The sequence below is a fragment of the Homo sapiens genome, chromosome 20 (assembly GCF_000001405.40).
Source record: "Homo sapiens chromosome 20, GRCh38.p14 Primary Assembly".
NCBI classification, from domain to species: Eukaryota; Metazoa; Chordata; class Mammalia; order Primates; family Hominidae; genus Homo; species Homo sapiens.
This window is the reverse complement of record NC_000020.11, coordinates 43,405,849-43,426,192: the sequence shown is the minus strand read 5'-3', so window position 1 is coordinate 43,426,192 and position 20,344 is coordinate 43,405,849. Positions and strand designations below refer to the sequence as shown.

Genomic DNA, 20,344 nt, shown 5'->3' with positions numbered 1-20,344 from the left:
CCCTTACCCCCATAACAACACTCAACCCTTTATTTTTTGCCTTTACCCATAAGCTGTGTTAGCAATCTGTGTTCTTCCATTTTTTTAAATATATATAATTCTATCCAGAGAGAGAGAACAAGAGAGAGAGAGTGTATGTGTGGTGTGTGTGATTGTTTTACAAAAATAGGATTATATTATTCACTCTTGCTTTTCTCCCTCAACCGTTCCTCAGTGAAATCCCTTTAAACTCTCTGGAGAGGCTCTGACTTACTCCTTTTAGCGGCCACGTTCTAGCCCATGGTGTGGACGTGCCACGCTCTACTCAGGTGAGTACTCATATCCACCCCCATTTCATGGATATGCACTTTGGTTCCAGTTCTTGGTCACTAGGAACAGCATTGCAATAAATGTTCTCACACGTGTTATTATAGACAAATACTTTTATTTCTATGGGATAAATTCCCAGGAGTAAAATTTCTGGGTTGAAGAGTATATATATATTTTCCCCTACAGTTTTATTATAGAAACTTTCAAATATATGGATAAGTTGAAAGAATCGCACATTTTAACACTGATATACTTATCACCTTGCTGTCTTTGCTTAATCATCTATCCATTTATCTAGCCATTCATCTTTTCACTTATCAATCCATCTTATTTTTTGGCACATTTCAGTGTAAGTTGTAGACATCAGCATATTCTACCTCTAAACACCTTGACCTGCATAACTTCAGCTCAACATTTGTTTACAGGTATTTTTCAGATATAATTTATATAAAGTGAATTGCACAAATCTTAAGTGTACCTTTCAACAAGCTCGGACAAAGGCAAACACTTACGAGTCCCAAATCCCAGTTAAGTTATAGGACAGTAACATCAACTCCAGAAAGTTCTCTCAAGCCTCTCCTCAATCGATCCCTACCCCACTCCCCAAAGCAACCACTGTTCTGATTTTTTCATGATATATTAATTTTGCTGTTCTGGAATTTCATGTAAATGAAATCGTATAGTGTATATGCTTTTTTTTTTTTTTTTTTTTTTTTTTTTTTTTTTTTGAGACAGAGTCTTGCTCTGTCGCCAAGGCTGGAGTGCAATGGCGCGATCTTGGCTCACTGCAACCTCCGCCTCCCGGGTTCAAGCGATTCTCCCTGCCTCAGCCTCCTGAGTAGCTGGGATTACAGGTGCCTGCCACCACGCCTGGCTAATTTTTGTATTTTTAGTAGAGACGGGGTTTTGCCATGTTGGCCAGGCTGGTCTCAAACTCCTGATCTCAGGTGATCTGCCCACCTTGGCCTCCCAAAGTGCTGGGATTACAGGCATGAGCCACTGCGCCCGGCCATATATGCTTTTTAGTAAGGCTCTTTGACTACGTGTAATGTTTTTGAGGTTTATTCATATTGTTGTTTGTGGCTTTTTAGTGCTCAACCATATTCTATTTTATGAATACACCACAGTGTGTTTATCCATTCTTCTGATCTGTTTTTGGCTTTTGATTATTACGAATAAAGCTGCTATGAACACTTGCATGCTAGCCTTTTTGTGGGCATGTTTTCCTTTCTCTTGAGTAAATATCTAGGAGTAGAATTGCAGGTCACAGGCCAGGTGTATGTTTAGTTTTATGACACCGTCAGATTTTTTTCCTAAAGTGATTGTACCATTTTACACTCCCCTCAACAATGTGTGAGTTCTAGTTACACTACATTCTTAACAATAATTGATGTTGTTAGTTTTTAAATGTAGCCATTTGGTAAATATGTAGAGGTATCCCAATGTGATTTTAATTTGTTTTTCCCTGGTGACTAATGAAGGATGAAGCTTTTTTCATGTGCATAAGGGCCATTTCCGCATTTTCTTGTGTAAAGTGTTCGTTAAGGTCTTTTACTCATTTTTAATGGGCTGATCTTTTTTGAGATGGGGTCTTGCTCTGTCGCCCAGGCTGGAGTGCAGTAGCACAGTCTTGGCTCACTGCAATGTCCACCTCCTGGACACAAAAGATTCTGCTGTCTCAGCCTCCTGAGTGGCTGGGATTACAGGCGCCCACCACCACGCCCAGCTAATTTTCATGTTTTTAGTAGAGATATGATTTCACCATGTTGGCCAGGCTGGTCTCAAACTCCTGACCTCAGGTGATCTGCCCGCCTCAGTCTCCCAAAATGTTGGGATTACAGGTGTGAGCCACTGTGCCTAGCCTAAAAAAAACCTTAATAAAGCAAAATTAAATTAAAAAAGACCAGGCTGGGCATGGTGGCTCACACCTATAATCCCAGCACTTTGAAAGACTGAGGTGAGAGGATTGCTTGAGCCCAGGAGTTCAAGACCAGCCTGGGCAACATGGTGAAACCCTGTCTCTACAAAAAATAGAAAAATTAGCGAGGTGTGATGGTGCACGCTTGTAGTCCCGACTACCTGGGAGGCTGAGGTGTGAGGATTGCTTGAGCCCGGGAAGTCAAGACTGTAGTGAGCCCAGATCATGCTACTGCACTCCAGCGTGGGCAACAGAGTAAGACTCTGTATCAAAAACAACAACAACAACAACCACAACAATAAAACCACAAAAAACACAAAACATTTTTAGCCTTCCTCCTGCCTGAGGAGGTGGAGCAGCCCAGCTCTGCAGCCGCCACAGCCTGTCCTCAGGATGAAGCGGAGTGCCTGCACCCAGAGCCAAGTCCTTGTCTGCTGGCAGCAGTCACCAGCCCAGCCAGTGCTGTGCCATCCCCACCCACACTGTGCCCATCAGCGACATGTGCAGCTACCTCATGGCTATTGCACCATGCCCGGAGGATGCTCTTCACCACACCCCAGGGATCTTGAATCATTTATGATCAAAAGTTTCTGTTGGATCATTGCAGTTCTCCCATGGCTCACACACAGCCCTGCCATCTGCCCGATATCCCAGGAGTCACTAGCCCTGGCACTTCAATAGAAGACTCCTAAGTAGAAGTAAACAACTTGAACAATCATGACAGGGAACACGCAGTTTAGGATGATGCTCAGTTTGAGACGGACATCTGACTTTCCTGCAAGGATCAGAAGAAAAGCAGCAATGCTGATACCTGTGTGTACCTAATTTGGCCAATAGGATCAATAACAAAAAGACAGAAAAGGCAATACTAGCAGTCCCCATTACAGTCTCCACCTGCTCCTCTTCTTCTGGCTGCCAAATGATGGGAAGGTGAGTTTCATCAGACCGTTTCTTCTCCCTGTTTCCTGTTCCCTGTTCCCCTTCCCAGTTAGCTTAGATTGAAGACTCCTGGTGTATATCTGTAGAGCTAAGCAGCCCATAGAGGAAAACAGTTAAAAACATTTTTTAAAGTGACACATAATAATTGTGCATATATATGAGTACATAGCGGTGTTGTGATACATATAATATATAGTGATCAGATCAGGGTAATTAGCACATCCATCATCTCAAACGTTTGTCATTTCTTTGTGTTGGAACATTCACTATCCTCCTTCTAGCTGTGTGAAACTATATACAGTATTATTGCTAATTACAGTCATCCTACAGTGCTGTAGAGCATTAGAACTTACTCCTCCTATCTAGCTGTAATTTTGTATCCTTTAACAAATATCTCCCTAACCCCACCTTCCCCCATCCTTCCCAATCTCGAGTATTCTCTGTTCTACTTTTTACTTCTATGAGATAAACTTTTTTTTTTTTTTAAAGCTTCCACATATGAGTGAGAACATGCAGTGTTTAACCTTCTGTTCCCCTGGCTTATTTCATTTAACATAATATTCTCCAGTTCCATCCATGTTGCTGCGAATGACAGGATTTCATCCTTTTTTTGGAGGAGTGGGGGGCAGACAGGGTCACGTTCTGTCACCCAGGCTGGAGTGCAGTGGCGCCATCTCAACATACTGCAACCTCTGCTTCCTGGGCCCAAGTGGCTACTTTTTGTATTTTTAGTAGAGACAGGATTTCATCATGTTGCCCAGGCTGGTCTTATACTCCTGAGCTCAAGCAGTCCTCCTGCCTTGGCCTCCCAAAGGACTGGGATTACAGGTGTAAGCCATCATGCCTGACCTATTAAATTTCATTATTAATTTCTGTCATCACCCATTGGTCATTCGGGAGCATGTTGTTTGACTTCCATTCATTTGTATGGTTTTAAATGTTCCTCTCGTTATTGATATCCAGTTTTATTTCATTGTGGTCAGATAAAATGCTTAGTAGAATTTCAGCTAAAAAGTTTTTTTTGAGACTTGTTTTATGTCCTAATGTATGGTCAGTCATGGAGAATGTTTCATGTGCTGATAAACAGAATGTGTATTCTGCATATGTTGGGTAAAATGTCTGTTAAGTCCATTTGGTCTATGATGCAGTTTATTTATTTTTTGTTTATTTTTATTTTTGAGGCAGAGTCTCGCTCTGTCACCTAGGCTGGAGTGCAGTGGCACAACCTCAGTTCACTGCAACCTCCGCCTCCCAGTTTCAAGCGATTCTCCCACCTCAGCCTCCCAAGTAGCAGGGACTACAGGTGTATGCCACCACACCTGGCTGATTTTTGTATTTTTAGTAGAGATAGGGTTTTACCATGTTGGCCCGGCTGGTCTCAAACTCCTGACCTCAAGTGATCCGCCTGCCTCAGCCTCCCAAAGTGCTGGGATTACAGGCATGAGCCACCATGCCTGGCCTGTGTTACAGTTTAAATTAGATGTTTCTTTGTTGATTTTCTGTCCACATGATCTGGCCAATGCTGACAGTGGGACATTGAAGTTCCCAGGTATTACTGTATCGGGGTCCATTTCTCCCTTTGGATCTAATATTTGCCTTATATATCTGGGTGCTCTGGTGTTGGGTGCATATATATTTACAATTGTTATATTCTCTGGCTGAATTAATCCCTTTATTATTATATAATTTCCTTGTCTCCTTTTACAGCTTTTTACTTGAAGTCTGTTTTGTTTGACATAGTTGCATTAGTCCGTTTTCACGCTGCTGATAAAGACATACCCAAGACTGGGAAATTTACAAAAGAAAGAGGTTTAATGGACTTATAGTTCCACGTGGCTAGGGAAGCCTGACAATCATGGCGGAAGGCAAGGAGGAGCAATTCATGTCTTACATGGATGGCAGCAGGCAAAGAGAGAGCTTGTGCATGGAAACTCCCGTTTTTAAAACCATCAGACCTCATGACACTTATTCACTATCACAAAAACAGCACGGGAAAGACCTGCCCCCATGATTCAATTACCTCCCACCAGGTTCCTCCCACAACATGTGAGAATTGTGGGAGTTACAATTCAAGATGAGATTTGGGTGGGGACACAGCCAAACCATATCGTAAGCATAGCTACTCCTGCTTGCTTTTGGTTTTGGTTTGCTTGGAATATCTTTTTTCGTCTCTTCAGTTTCAGCCTATGTGTGTCTTTACAGGTAAGGCGAGATTCTTATAGGTAATGTGTAGTTGGTCTTTTTTTTTTTTTAAATCCATTCAGTCTATATCTTTAAATGGGGGGAATTTAGTTTATTTACATTCAAAGTTATCATTGATAGGTGAGGACTTATTCCTGTCATTTTATTGATTGTTTCCTTGTTGTTTTATCTATTGTTTGTTCCTTACTTCCTCTCATTATTTTTGTGTTTGAGTCGTTTTGCATAGTTTGTTTGATAAGGTTTGATGATTTTCTCTTTCTCCTTTGTGCATCAGCTCTTAACAATGGGTTTTATAGTTTTACATGCTTTCATGATGATGCCTGTTGTCTTTTCACTTCCAGGTGTAAAACTCCTTTGAGTATTTCTTGTAAGGCCTATTAGTTTTTGCTTGTGTGTGAAAGATTTTATTTTTCCTTCATTTTTGAAGGATAGCTTTGCTGGGTATAATATTCTGGCTTGGTAGTTTTTTTTTTTTTTTTTTCTTCAGTACTATTTTTTTTTTTTGAACAGGGTCTCACTCTGTCACCCAGGCTGGAGTGCAGTGGTGTGATCACAGCTCACTGCAGCCTCAGCCCCCTCAGGCTCAGGTGATCCTTCCACCTCAGCCTCCTGAGTAGCTGGGACTACAGGCATATACCACCATGCCTGGCTAATTTTTCTATTTTTGTAGAGATGGAGTCTTGCTATGTTGCCCGGACTGCTCTTGAACTCATGGGCTGAAGCAATCTGCCTGCCTTGGCCTCCTAAAATACTGTGCTTACAGGTGTGAGCAACCATGCCTGGCCTTCTTTCCGTACTTTAAATATATCATCCCATTCTCTCATGACCTGTAAGGTTTCTGCTGAGAAATCCACTGTTAGTCTAATAGAGATTCCTTTATATATGACTTAATGCTTTTCTCTTGCTGCTTTTAGAAGTCTTTCTTTGTTTTTGACTTTTGACAATTTGAGTATAATGTGCCTTAGAGAGGACCTGTTTGGGTTGAATCCATTTAGGGTTATTTGATCTTCTTGGATGTCCATCTCTTTCCAAAGACTTGAGTTTTCAGCTATTATTTTATTAAATATGCTTTCTAAACCTTTTCCCTTATCTTCTCCTTCTGGAATACCCATAATGTGAGTATTTCTTTACTTAATAATGTCACATAAGTTGTGTAGGCTTTCTTCATTTTTTTTTCCTTGAGACAAAGTCTTGCTCTGTTGTCCAGGCAGGAATGCAGTGCCATGACTGTGGCTCACTGCAGCCTTGACTTCCTTGTCTCAGGTGATCCTCCTGCATTAGCCTCCCAAGGAGCCAATATTACAGGCATGCACCAACATGCCAAGCCAATTAAAAAAAACCCTTTTATTGGTAGAGATGGGGCCTTACTATGCTTCCCAGGCTGGTCTCAAACTCCTGGACTCAAGTGGTCCTCCTATCTTGGCCTCCCAAAGTGCTGGATTGTGGGTGTGAGCCATAGCACCCAGCCACTTTTTAATTATTCTTTTCTTTTTTCTCTTCTCTTTTTTCTTTCTTTCTTTCTTTCTTTCTTTCTTTCTTTCTTTCTTTCTTTCTTCCTTCCTTCCTTCCTTCCTTCCTCCCTCCCTGCCTCTCTCTCTCTCTCTTTCTTTTTTTTCTCTTTCCTCTCTCTCCCCCCTTTCTTTTCATCTTTCTTTCTTTTCTCTCTCCCCTCTCTTTCTTTTTCTCTCTTTCTTTGTCTCTCCCTCTCCTTCTTTCTTTTTCTTTCCTTTGTTTCTGCCTTTCTTCCCCTCCCTCCCTTCCTCCTTCCTTCCTTTCTTTCTCTCTCTTTCCTTCTTTCTTTCTTTCCTTTCTTTCTTTTCTTTCCTCTCTCTCCCCCTCCCTTTTTTTCTCCTTCTTTTCTGTCTCTTCTTTCTTTCTTTCTCTTTCTTTCTCTGTCTCTCCCTCTCCCTCTTTATTTTTCTTTCTTTCTTCCTTCCTTCTCCTCCTTCCTTCCTTCCTTCCTTCCTTTTCTCTTTTTCTTTCTTTTGGTCTGCCTGTATTATTTCAAATGACCTGTCTTAAAGCTCAGAAATTCTTTCTTCTGTTTGGTCTGGTGTGTTGTTGAAGCTCTCAAATATATTTTTTATTTCATTCATTAAGTTCTTCAGCTGTAGAATATCTGTTAGGTTCTTTTTTATGATATCTATCTCTTTGTTGAATTTCTCATTCAGACCATGAATTGTTTTCTTGATCTCATTGAATTGTATATCTGTATTCTATCGTATCTCATTGAATTTTCTTCAGATTATTATTTTGAATTCTTTTTCTGGCATTTTTTATATTTCCTTATGATTGGGGACTGTTACTGGAGAGCTACTGTGTTCCTTTGGAGGTGCCATGAGTCCTTGATTGTTCATGTTTGATGTGTCCCTACATTGATTTCTATGCATTTGATGGAAAAGTTGCTTCTTCCAATTTTAGGGAGTAGGTTTTATAGGGAAAGTGTTGTTAATATACATGGCATGTAAAGGAAAAGAAGTCATTATATGAAAAAGACACATGCACACATGTTTGTAGCAGCACAATTTGCAATAGCAAAGATGTGGAATCAACCTAGGTACCCACCGAGGAAGGAGTGAATAAAGAAAATGTTACATATACAGTATAAAATACCACTCAGCCATAATAAGGAGCAAAATAATGCATTTTGCAGCAACTTGGATGGAGCTGGGGGCCATTATTCAAAGTAACTCTGAAATGGAAAACCAAATACTGTATGTTCTTACTTATAAGTGGGAGCTAAGCTATGAGGATGCAAAGACATACAGAGTGATATAATGGACTCTGGGGACTCAGTCGGGGAGACTGGAAGGTGGGTGAAAGACTACATGTTGGGTATGGTGTTCACTGTTCTGGTGATGAGTGCACTAAGATCTCACCATTCACCACTAAAGAATTCATCCATATAACCAAAAGCCACCTGTACCCCAAAAACTATTAAAATTAAAAAAAATTAGCCAGGCATGGTGGCATGTGCCTATAGTCCCAGCTACTCAGGAGGCTGAGGTGAGAAGATTGCTTGGGCCTAGGAGTTCAAAGCTGCAGTGAGCTGAGATTGTGCCATTGCACTTCAGGCTGGGCAAGAGAGCAAGACCCTATCTCAAAAAAAAAAAAGTTTATCTGGAAGGATCATTGTGAGAGAAAGACCTTGAAATATATGAGAAAAAAATGACTGGGGTGGGGAAGGTTAAATATTATCTGTGTATTATAAAGTCACAACACTTACAAAAAATATACATGGGGTGTTGTTTTGGTGGAGAGTACTGGCTTTGGTTTTAGGGGGCTGCAGTATTGTAGTTTCCAGCAAAAATTAGCTGGGCATGGTGGCGGGCACCTGTAGTCCCAGCTACTGGGGAGGCTGAGGCGGGAGAATCGCTTGAACCCGGGAGGCAGAGGTTGCAGTGAGCCGAGATCACACCACTGCACTCCAGACTGGGCAACACAGCAAGATCCCGTCTCAAAAATAAAAAACAAACAAACAAATAAATAAATAAATAAAATACAAAGTACTGTAGTTTCCATGTAGTTTCTTCAGCTATAAGCCACTCTAGTGACATTTCCAAGTGTCTCAGTGGCTTAGGCTAACAGAGGCTGTGGTGGCAGTGGTGTGGCTTTACCGGGGGTAGCCTTGCCAGGCTGCTTCTTCAGGTCAGAGGTGCATGCATGCACATTGTGTGTTGGCAAACGTGAGGCTGGGGTTGGCGCTAAGAGGCTATTACTCTAGTTGGGAATGTGTGCATGTGGTTGCATGGCCGGCCTGGGGCTGTGCCTGCCAGGAGCAGTCTGCAGGGCTGTTTCTCAGGCCCAGGACACAGGCTTACAGCTGCTCTGCAGGCTTGGGGGCATGCATGCCAGGGGCAGACTGTGGGGCTGTTTCTCAGGCCTGGGATGCAGCCACAAGGCTACTCAGTTGGCCTGGAGGGTGCCCACCGGGGCTGCCCATATAGCTGTTTCTTGGACCTAGTTATGGTCACACAGTTGCTTGGCTGGCCTGGGGCATGTGTGCTGGGGGAAGCCCATGGGGCTGTTTCTCAGGCCTGGGATATGGGCTCATGGCGGTTTGGCCAGCCTGGGGTTTTGTCCAACAGGGATCACCTGTAGGGTTGTTTCTCAGTTGCAGGGCATGGGCACACAGTTGCTTGGCTGGCCTAGGGGAGTGTCTGCCAGAGGTAGCCTGCAGGGATGTTTTTCAGGCCTTGATTGTGGGTGCAGGGCCACTGGGCAGGCCAGGGGCTTGTCTGTAGGGGATTGAGCATTGCAGACAGTTTCTCGGGACTTGGGCACAGGCACATAGCTGCTCTGCCAGCCCAGGAGTGTTTCAGCTGTTTGGAGGCTTGAGGGCCTCTCCTGCTTGGGCACGCAGCAGTTTGGCTGGCTCAAGGGCAGGTTTGCCCTGGGCAGGACTTCCAGACTGTTCCTCCTGCTGGAGGTGAGGGTCACAGGAGTTGGTTTCCCTGCTGTGCAGGGCCAGTCACAGCCAGTCCTGCCCCCAGGCTTTATGTTACTGCGCTTGCATCAGCAGCCACCCGCGTGGGCTTGGTGGAATGCTGAAGCCCGGTGCTGGAGAGGGGTAGTGGCTACTGGCCCTCAGAGCAGGGTGCACTCTAGAAATGGCTCTGGTCTCAAGATGGGGCTGTGCTGCAGTAGCTTGGCTCGAGGGGGTAGATGGGGATGGGTAGTGTGCAACTGTGCTCCGGATCCAGGGCAGTGTGGCTGTGTGACCTCCTGTAGCTCTCCACACTGGACTCAGGGCCCTCGAGGACTCTGGGATTCTCCAGCAGTGAGGACTGAAGGTGTTTGTAGTTGCAATGGGGGTTCCGAGGGGGTTCTTCTGCTTACTTTTTCCCCTGCAGTGAGATGTCCTTTCTGACTCTGGACAGATCAGATCCAGATGGGGGAGGCGGGGTTGCAGAGGCCAGGTGCCTTCATGCTGGAGGTCCAGCCCTCCTGGCCTTGCAGTCACCGCAGCTGCAGCTCCACTCCCCTGCTGCACTCCAGCCCTCTCCCTCCACACTCCAGTCAAATCTGATCTGCGTATTGCTTGCCTTGGTCGGGTCTTGTGGGAGGGTGAACAGCAGGGTCTGCAGGCAGCCATCTTACTGACACCACTTTCCTTTTTTTTCTTTCTTTAAATGAGTTGTAGAAGTGTGTTTGTGTGTGTGTGTGTTTAAATATATTCTGAATACTGACATTTTGTCAGATATATATGTTTTGTGAATTTTTTTCTTAGTCTGAGAATGACATATTCATTTTCTTTTTTTTTTTTTTTTTTTTGAGGCAGAGTTTCACTCTTGTCACCCAGGCTGGAGTGCAATGGTGCGATCGCGGCTCACTGCAACCTCCACCTCCCAGGTACAAGTGATTCTCCTGCTTCAGCCTCCCAGGTAGCTGGGGTTACAGGCACCCGCCACCACGCCCAGCTAATTTTTTGTATTTTTGTAGAGATGGGGTTTAACCATGTTGGCCAGGCTGGTCTTGACCTCCTGACCTCAGATGATCCACCTGCCTCAGCCTCCCAAAGTGCTGGGATTACAGGCCACCGCACCCAGCCTATTCATTCTCTTAAAGATGTCTTTTGACAAACTGAAGTTTCACATTTTGATAAAATGACTTTATACACTTTATACACTTTTTCTTTTATGGTTATTGCTTTCTCAGTACTGCCTAAGAAACCTGCTTAAGAAGCCTGGTCTCCAAGTTGAGAAGGAAGTTTCCTATCTTTTCTTGTAGGCAGAGGGTCACTTTTTTTTTTTCCATATTGAATCTCCAGTTTTCTCAGACTATTTGTTGAAAACATTTCCTTTCTTTCTCCTCTTTTCCTTCCTTCCTTCCTTCCTTCCTTCCTTCCTTCCTTCCATCCCTCTCTCTCTTTCTTTTTTTCTCTCTCTCCTTCCTTCCTTCCTTCTTTTTTTTTTCTGAGACGGAGTCTTGCTCTGTTGTCCAGGCTGCAGTACAGTGGCATGATCTCAGCTCCGCAACCTCCACCTCCCGGGTTCAAGCGATTCTTCTGCCTCAGCCTTCTGAGTAGCTGGGACTATAGGTGCCTGCCACCATGCCTGGCTAATTTTTGTATTTTTAGTAGAGATGGGGGTTTCATCATATTGGCCAGGCTGGTCTCGAACTCCTGACCTCAAATGATCTCCCAGCCTCGACCTCCCAAAGTGCTGGGATTACAGGGGTGAGCCACTGCACCCAGCCTAAAAACATTTCCTTTCTTTATTGGATTGCTTTGGTGTTTTTATAAAAAAATAAATAAATCACCCTATAAATGAGGATCTACATCTGGATTCTCTGTTCTAGTCCATTGATCTATTTATCTATCCTTATGACAGTAACCACAATGCCTTGATTACTGTAGCTTCATCACAAGTCTTTAAATCCAGTTCTAGTAGTCCTCCAAATTTGTCTTTTTCAAGATTACTTTGGATACTTCCAGGTCTTTGTATTTTTATATACATTTTAGAACGAGTTTGTCAAATTCCATAAAATGGTCAGATTGGATTACGGTTGGGATGACATTAAATGTATAGATCAATTTTGGGACTAATTGACGTCTTAAAAGCATTGAATATTCCAATCAGTGCGTTTGGTTTATCTCTCCATTTATTCAGCCCTTTAAAAATTTCTCTCAGTAAGATTGTGTGCTTTTTAATGTAGACATTTTTAATGAAGAGGTTTTAAATGTAAAGGCAATGTCTTTTGTTAAATTTATTCCTAAGTATTTCATGTTTTTGGCATTCCAGTAAATAAAATTGGTTTTCTAATTCCATTTTCTAATGTTTCACTGCCAGAACAGAAAAATACAATTGATTTTGGTGTATTGCCTTTGTGTCTACAAGTTTGCTAGTTTACGTATTAGTTCCAGCAGATGTTTTATAGATTCCTTAAGATTTTCTATGTAAACAATAATTTCACTTGTGAATAAAGATAATTTACTTCTTTCTTTCCAATCCCAATGCCATTTACTTCTTTACTTGCCTTACCTCACGGGCTAGAATCTGTGATACCATGTTGAACAGAAGTGGTGAAAATGGATATTCTTGCCTTCTTCCCAATCTTAGAGGGGAACTATTCAATATTCAACTACTGCTGGGCGTGGTGGCTCACACCTGTAATCCCAGCACTTTGAGAGGCCCAGGTGGGAGGATCGCTTGAGCCCAGGAGTTTGAGACCAGCCTGGACAAAATAACGAAACCCTGTCTCTACAAAAAATAAAAAAATTAACTGGGTGTGGTGGCACATGCCTATAGTCCTAGCTGCTTGGGAGGCAGAGGTGGGAGGATCACTCTAGCCTAGGAGGTTGAGGCTGCAGTGAGCTGTGATTGCGCCACTGCACTCCAGCCTGGGTGGCAGAGCCAGATCCTGTCTTAATTAAAAAAAAAAAATTAAACTACTAAGTATAGTGTTAACTGTAGGCTTTTTGAAGATGTCATTAATTAGATTGCAGAAGTTCCCTTTTAATTCTGGTTTGCTAAAAGTTATTTCCTTTTTTGTTTTGTTTTTGAATAACTGGCTGTTTTTTTTTTAAATGGTTTTCCTGCTTTATTTCAATGAGTAATTTTTGTTTCAGACTGTTAATATGGCTGATTACATTGTTTGGCTTTTTGTGAGTTAAATCAACCTTGGATTCCTGAGATATGTCCAATTTGGTCATGTTTCTTTCTTTCTTTTTTTTTTTTAAATATTGCTGGATTCTATTTGTGATATTTTGTGAAGGAGTTTTGCATTAATGTTCAAAAAGAATATTGGTCTGGAATTTTTTTCGTGTGTGTGTATGTGATTTCTTTGTTAGGTTTGTCCTCAGGATTCTGCTGGCCTCATAAGATGAGTTGTTAAGTGTTCTTTCCATTTTGTGAGTTTGTGAGTGTGTGTGTCAATTCCTTCTTTTTTTTTTTTTTTTTTTTTTTTTTTTTTTGGTGAGACACAGTCTCACTCTGTTGCCCAAGCTGGAGTGCAGTGGTGCAATCTTGGCTCACTGCAACCTCCACCTCCTGGCTACAAGCAATTCTCCTGTCTCAGCCTCCCGAGTAGCTGGGATTACAGACATGTGCCACCACCCCTGGCTAATTTTTGTATTTTTAGTAGAGATGAGGTTTTATCATGTTGGCCAGCTGATCTTGAACTCCCGACCTCAGGTGATTCACCTGCCTTGGCCTCCCAAAGTGTTGGGATCACAGGCGTGAGCCACCATGCTTGGCCTCAATTCCGCCTTAATAAAACTTACTGGTGAAACCACATGGAATTTTCTCTGTGGGAAGATTTGTGTGTGTGTGTGGGAAGTTTCAGAATTATGAATTCAATTTCTTATGAGATACATGGACTATTTAGATTTTCTATTTTATTTTATATAACTTTTGGTAAGCTGTACTTCCAAGGAATTTATTTTATCTAGGTTTTCTGAATATATTTTTAGCATAAAGTTATTTATAATATGCAGTTATTATTCTTTTAATGTCTATAGGACTTGTAAGACTGTTTCCTTTTTCATTCCCGATATTGATAATTTTGGTTCTTTTCTTGGTCAGCCGAACTAGGAATTTATTTTTTGAGACAAGATCTTGCTCTATCACTCAGGCTAGAGTGCAGTGTTGCAATCATGGCTCACTGCAGCCTTGATCTCCTGGGCTCAAGTGATCTTCCCACCTTAGCCTCCCAAATGGGTGGGACCATAGGTGTGCACCCACCACACCCAGCTATTTTTGTAGTCACAAGCTCTGGCCATGTTGCTCAGGCTGGTCTTGAACTTCTGGGCTCAAGTGATCCTCCTGCCTTGGCCTCCCAAAGTGCTGGGATTACAGGCATGAGCCACTGTGCTCAACCTGTATGTCTTCTTTTAAAAAGTATCTGTTCATATCTTTCACACACTTTTTAATGGGGTTATTTTGTTGCTGTTGAGTTATTTGAGGTCCTTGTAGATTCTGGATATTAGTCCTTTGTTGGATGCATAGTTTGCAAATAACTTCTCCCATTCCATAGTTTGACCATTCTGTTGGTTGTTTCTTTTTCTTTTCTTTTTTTTAAAATTTTTTATTTGAGACAGAGTCTCTCTTTGTCACCCAGGCTAGAGTGCAATGGCATGGTCTCGGCTCACTGCAACCTCTGCCTCCCGGGTTCAAGCAATTCTCCTGCCTCAGCCTCCTGAGTAGCTGGGACTACAGGTGCATGCCACCACACCCTGCTAATTTTTGTATTTTTAGTAGAGACGGGGTTTCACTATGTTGGCCAGGCTGGTCTGGAACTCCTGACCTCATGATCTGTCCACCTCAGCCTCCCAAAGTGCTGGGATTACAGGTGTGAGCCAATGTGCCCAGCCTCTGTTGATTGTTTCTTTTGATGTGCAGAATATTTTTAGCTTGATATAATTCCATTTGTCTATTTTTGTTTCTGTCGCATATGCTTTTGAGGTCTTGGTTATAAATTCTTTGCCTAGGCCAATATCCAGAATAATTTTTTTCTAGGTTTCCTTCTAGAATTTTTATAGTTTCGGGTCTTACATTTAAGCCTTTAATCTGTCTTGAGTTAATTTTTGTCTATGGTGAGAGATATGGGACCAATTTCATTCTCCTGCTTATGGCTATCTAATTTTTCCAGCACCATTTTCGGAATAAGGTGTCCTTTCCTCAGTGTACGTTTTTGTTGACTCTGTTGAAGATCAATTATCATTAGGTATGTGGCTTTATTTCTGGGTTCTCTTTTCTGTTCCACTGGTCTATGTATCTATTTTTATGCCAGTACCATGCTGTTTTGGTTGCTGTAGCCTGGTTGTATAATTTAAAGTCAGACAGTGTTATTTGTTGCTTAGGATTGCTTTGGCTATTTGGACTCTTTTTTGGGTTCATATGAATTTTAACATTGTTTATTCTAATTCTGTGAAAAATGACCTTGGTATTTTGATAGGAATTGCATTAAGTCTGTTGATTGCTTCGAGCAGTATGGTAATTTTAATGATACTGATTCTTCCAATCCATGAGCATGGGCTATTTTTTCTATTTGCTTGTGTCATCTATAATTTCTTTCATCAGTGTTTTATAGTTTTTTAATAGAGATAGAGATATTTCACCTCTTTAGTAAAATATTCCTTAGTATTGTTTTCTAGTTATTGTAAATGGGATTGACTTCTTGATTTTGTTCTCTGCTTGATCACTATTGGTATATAGAAATGCTACTGGCTTTTATATGTTGCTTTTGTATCCTAAAACGTCACTGAATTCATTTATCAAACCTAGGAATGTCTTGGAGGAGTCTTTAGGGTTTTCTAGGCATAAGATCATATCATTGGCAAACAGATACTTTGATTTCCTATTTTCCAGTTTTGATGCCTCTTATTTCTCTTGCCTGCTCTGGCTAGGAAATCCAGATGTTGAATAAGAGTGTGAAAGTAGGCATCCTTGTCTTGTTTCAGTTCTTAGAGGGAACATTTCCCCATTCAGTATAATGTTGGCTGTGGGTTTGTTTTACATGGCTTTTATTATTTTGAGGTATGTTTCTTCTATGTCTAGTTTGTTGAGGGTTTTTATCATGAAGGACTGATGACTCTTATCAAATACTTTTTCTGTATTTATTGACATAATAATCTGGTTTTTGTTTTTAATCCTGTTTATGTGGTTAGTCACATTTATTGATTTGCATATGTTGAACCATCTTCGCATTCCTGCAATAAAACCCACTTGCTCTTGGTGCATTATCTTTTTGATGTGCTGTTGAATTTGGTTTGCTAATATTTTGTGAAGGAATTTTGTGTCTATGTCCATCAGGGATATTGATCTGTAGTTTTCTTTTTTGTTGTTGTTGTGTCCTTGCCTGGCTTTGGTATCAGGGTGACAATAACTTTGTAGAATGAGTTAGGGTGTATTCCCCCCTTCCGTTTTTTGGAGTAGCTTCAGTAGGATTGGTACTAGTTCTTCTTTGCACATCTGGTGGAATTGGGCTGTGAATCCATCTAGTCCTGGGTTTTTTTTTTTTTTTTTTTTTTGGCGAGGAGAGATTTTTTTTTTTTTTTGAGACAGAGGGTCTTGTTCTGTCACCCAGGCTGGAGTGCAGTAATGTATTCTTAGTTCAAGGTGGCCTTGAACTCCTGGTCTCAGGCTCAGGCTCCTGAGTAGCTGGGACTGCATGTGTGCTCCACCACACGCAGCTGCCTGTTTGCTGTTGTTTCTTGTGCATGGATGTCTATTTCTCTGCATTAAAGGATTAGTTATTTATTCCAGACTTCCCTGTCTGGCTTGTTTTGGTTTTTTGGGGGATATGTTTGCTTAGAGAGTCTTTGTAATTTACCTGTTAATTATGTTTCTTTTGTTTTTCCCTCTAGATCACTGCCTCCTTTTTGGCACTAGATGGCGCCTTAAGCTCAAGTTTGCCTCAGTTGTAGTAAATCAGATTGCTGCCTGTTCCCAAACGGGTGAGGCTCCAAAAGGGATAGCCTGGCAGCGTGGGAAGCTTTCCAGGGGTTTGCGAACAGGGAACCTGTGAAACGAACCTCCTCCCGTGTGGTGATGATGAACAGCCACTCTGATTTGGTATCTCCTTTGGCCAACGTCCAGAGCAGAGTTTTCTAAGCTGGGGATAGTAAGTCCCACCTTTGCCATTTGTCTCTGACTGTCCTTAGGGGCATTTCTCTTTCTAGGCACTCTCAATGCTTCCTGTGACTTGGGGCAGAGGCAGGTCTCCTGCCAAAGAACGCAGGATGGTGGGGAAATAGATCAAACGCCTCAATCTTAGTGTTTCCAGTGTAGAAGCTGTGAGTCAGGGGGAAGATTTCCATGTGTTTGGTGCTGGGCAGATCGGAGGGCAGAGCATTATGGATATGGAAGTCTGATCCTCTGACTGTCGGCTCAGAGTTTTTTCACTTCTCTGTAGTCCCAGGAACTGTCTCATCCTCATATTTGAGTTATGGTATATTGCTGGTGATAATCTTGGTGCTATATATTTGTTTTTGGTTTTCTGTGGGGGGTGGGGAGTGAAACCAGCTTGCTTCTGCACTGCGATTTTGTAACTGGGAGTCCAGGTTTTGTCAATTTTTGTTTCATGCATTTTTAAGCTCTATCGTTAGATGCAATTCTGATTTTTGTTCTCTTGATGAAAATGGACCATTTTACCACCATGAAATGTCCCTTTTTATCTCTGTCTTAAAGTCTACTCCATTTGAAATTAACCTAGCCCTTATTCTAGCTTTCTTATGCCCTGATTGGATGCTGTATAATGTATCTTTTCTCATCTCTTTCCTTTCAGCTATCTGTATTGTAACATTTAAAGTGTATCTCTTGTAGTTGGATATAGATTCTCCTTGTTATTGTTTTTTAATCCTGCCTTCTCTGCTTTTTCGCTGGAGTGTTTAGTCCATTTACAGATAATGTAATTATGGACATAATTTGATATAGATCTACCATTTTATTACTTGTTTGTTTTGTATATACATTTTTCCTCTCTTCATCCTTTTTGGCCTTCTTATGGGTTAAAATAAATTTTTGGAACTCCATTTTAATTTGTTAATTGGCATTCTAGCTACACCTCTTTCTATGTTTTAAAGTGGTTGCTTAGTGATTACAATATTCATTCTTAGCTTAGAGTCTACATTCTACGTAGATATAAATATTTTACCACTTCACACAAAATTTAAGAGCCTTACAACTATACACATCAGTTTACCCCCAACCTTTATGCTGTATTTTCATATATAATGTATAAAAACATTAAAACTCCCACAATACAATGTTATAATTTTTACTTTAAAGAGTTAGAAGCATTTAGAAATTAAGGAGAATGTAATATTTTATATTCACTAAATTAGTCGTTGTAACACTGCTATAAAGAACTACTGGACACTGGGTAATTTATAAAGAAAACAGATTTAATTGGCTCACAGTTCTGCAGGCTGCACAGGAAGCATGGCTGGAGAGGCCTCAGGAAACTTACAATCATGGTAGAAGGTGGAGAGGAAGGAGGCACGTCTTACATGACCAGAGCAGGGGGAGGAGAGGGAAGGGGCAGGTGCTACACACTGTTGAACAACATGATCTCATGAGAACTCATTCACTATCATGAGAACAGCAAGGGGGAAGTCTGCCCCCATGATCCAATCACCTCCAACAGTCCCCTCCTCCAACATTGGGGATTATGATTTGACATGAGATTTGGGCAGGGACACAGACCCAAACCATATCACTCAGCAACATGTTTAACATTTTCAGATGTGGAGAGAAAAATGACCCCATCTTGGATGTTAATCTTCCATGTTGACTTCTGCTTAACCCCAGTCCTGGGAATGCCTGCAAAATTTCTACTTTACTTACTGTTCCCAGTGTAACAACAGGTCTATCTTGATGTTATTGCAGAAATTATGGGCTATGATGCCTATAGTATTTTTGCCTGTCTGGAGGGTGCCTTTAATTGTCTCTATAGAGCACATATACTCTTGCCCTATGGTATAAAAGCCCTGGGTCTGGGGAGTAACGGTGCAGAGATTTTTTGTCTTGCTGTCACCCAAGACTACGCTTCTGTCTATAAGTTCCTACTGACAAACTGGATTTGTCAGCCTCATTCTTTGGCTTCTTGGCTCCTTCTGTTTTTGGGTGTCGCTTTGCATAGATGGCCTTTTCACAAAACACCAGGGATTTCACTTCTTCTCGAAGATATATGAGTTCCCATCTGTGTCACTTCCCTTCATTTGATGAACTTCATTTAGTGTTTCTTGTAATGCAGGTCTGCTGAGTGAAGTCTCTTAGTTTTCATTCATTTTAAAATGTTTTTATTTCATCTTCCTTGTGGTGGACAGGACTTGAGCGACCCCCAATAATCCCCACCTTCTGGTATTCACATCTTCATATAATCTCCTCTCCTTGAGTGTGAGTGGGACTTGTGAATTGCTTCTAAACAATAGAATATGGCAAAAGTGATAGGTTGCCACTGCCATGATATGGTACATTATAAAAAACTCTGTCTTGCTAGCTGACTCTAGAGTCTCTTTTACTTACTGGCTGTGAGCACGGAGGCTTGCAAAAACTTATCTGAGCCCACCAGGCAAGAAATTTCAGGCAACATCTAGTTGCTCAGCATAGCCTCAGTCTTACAGTCTCAAAGAAAGAAATTCTGCCACTAACCTGAGTGAGCTTGGGAGACGATTCATTGTCAGTTCAGCTTCCAGGTGAGAACAGATTCCTGGCTCTGACTTCTAATCTACAGAAACTGTGAGATAATGTGCAAATTTAAAAACCACTAGGTTGTGGTAATTGTTACATAGCAACACATTCATTTTCAGGTATATTTTAGTGGATATAGAATTCTGGGTTGACAATTTAAGTTGTTTTTCTTTTCTTTTTTTTTGGATATAGGGTCTCACTTTGTCACCCAGCCTGGAGTGCAGTGGTGTGATCATGGCTCACTGCAGCCTCAACATCCTGGGCTCAAGTGATCCTACTGCCTCAGCCTCCCAAACAGCTGGGACTACAGGTGTGAACCACCATGCTGGCTAATTTTTGTATTTTTTTCTGTAAAAGCGGGGTTTCACCATGTTGCCTAGGCTTAAAGTTGTTTTTCTGTTGTCTTTTGTTCTCTACTATTTCTGACGTGAAGTCAGAAGTCATTCAAATCATTGTTCCCCATTATGTTTTGCGTAAATTTTCTCTGGCTAATACCATGATATTTTCTTTATCTTTGGTTTTCAGCAGTTTGGTATGATGTATCTATATGTGGTTTTCTTTGTATTTTTTCCTGCTTGGAGTTTGTTGAATTTCTTGACTGTATAAATTTATAAATTGCACTAAAAATTTGACCATTATTTCTTCACAAAACTTTTTTTTTTTTTGAGATGTAATTTCACTCTTCTTGCCCAAGCTGGAGTGCAGTGGCATGATCTTGGCTCACTGCAACTTCTGCCTCCTGGGTTCAAGAGATTCTCCTGCCTCAGCCTCCCAAGTAGCTGAGATTGGGATTACAGGCATGCACCACCATGCTTGGCTAATTTTTTATATTTTTAGTAAA

At 41.5% G+C, this 20,344-nt stretch overlaps 1 pseudogene; it reads left to right on the top strand.

The window, feature by feature from the left end:
* On the top strand, window positions 2,560-3,284 carry EIF4EBP2P1 (eukaryotic translation initiation factor 4E binding protein 2 pseudogene 1; annotated as a pseudogene).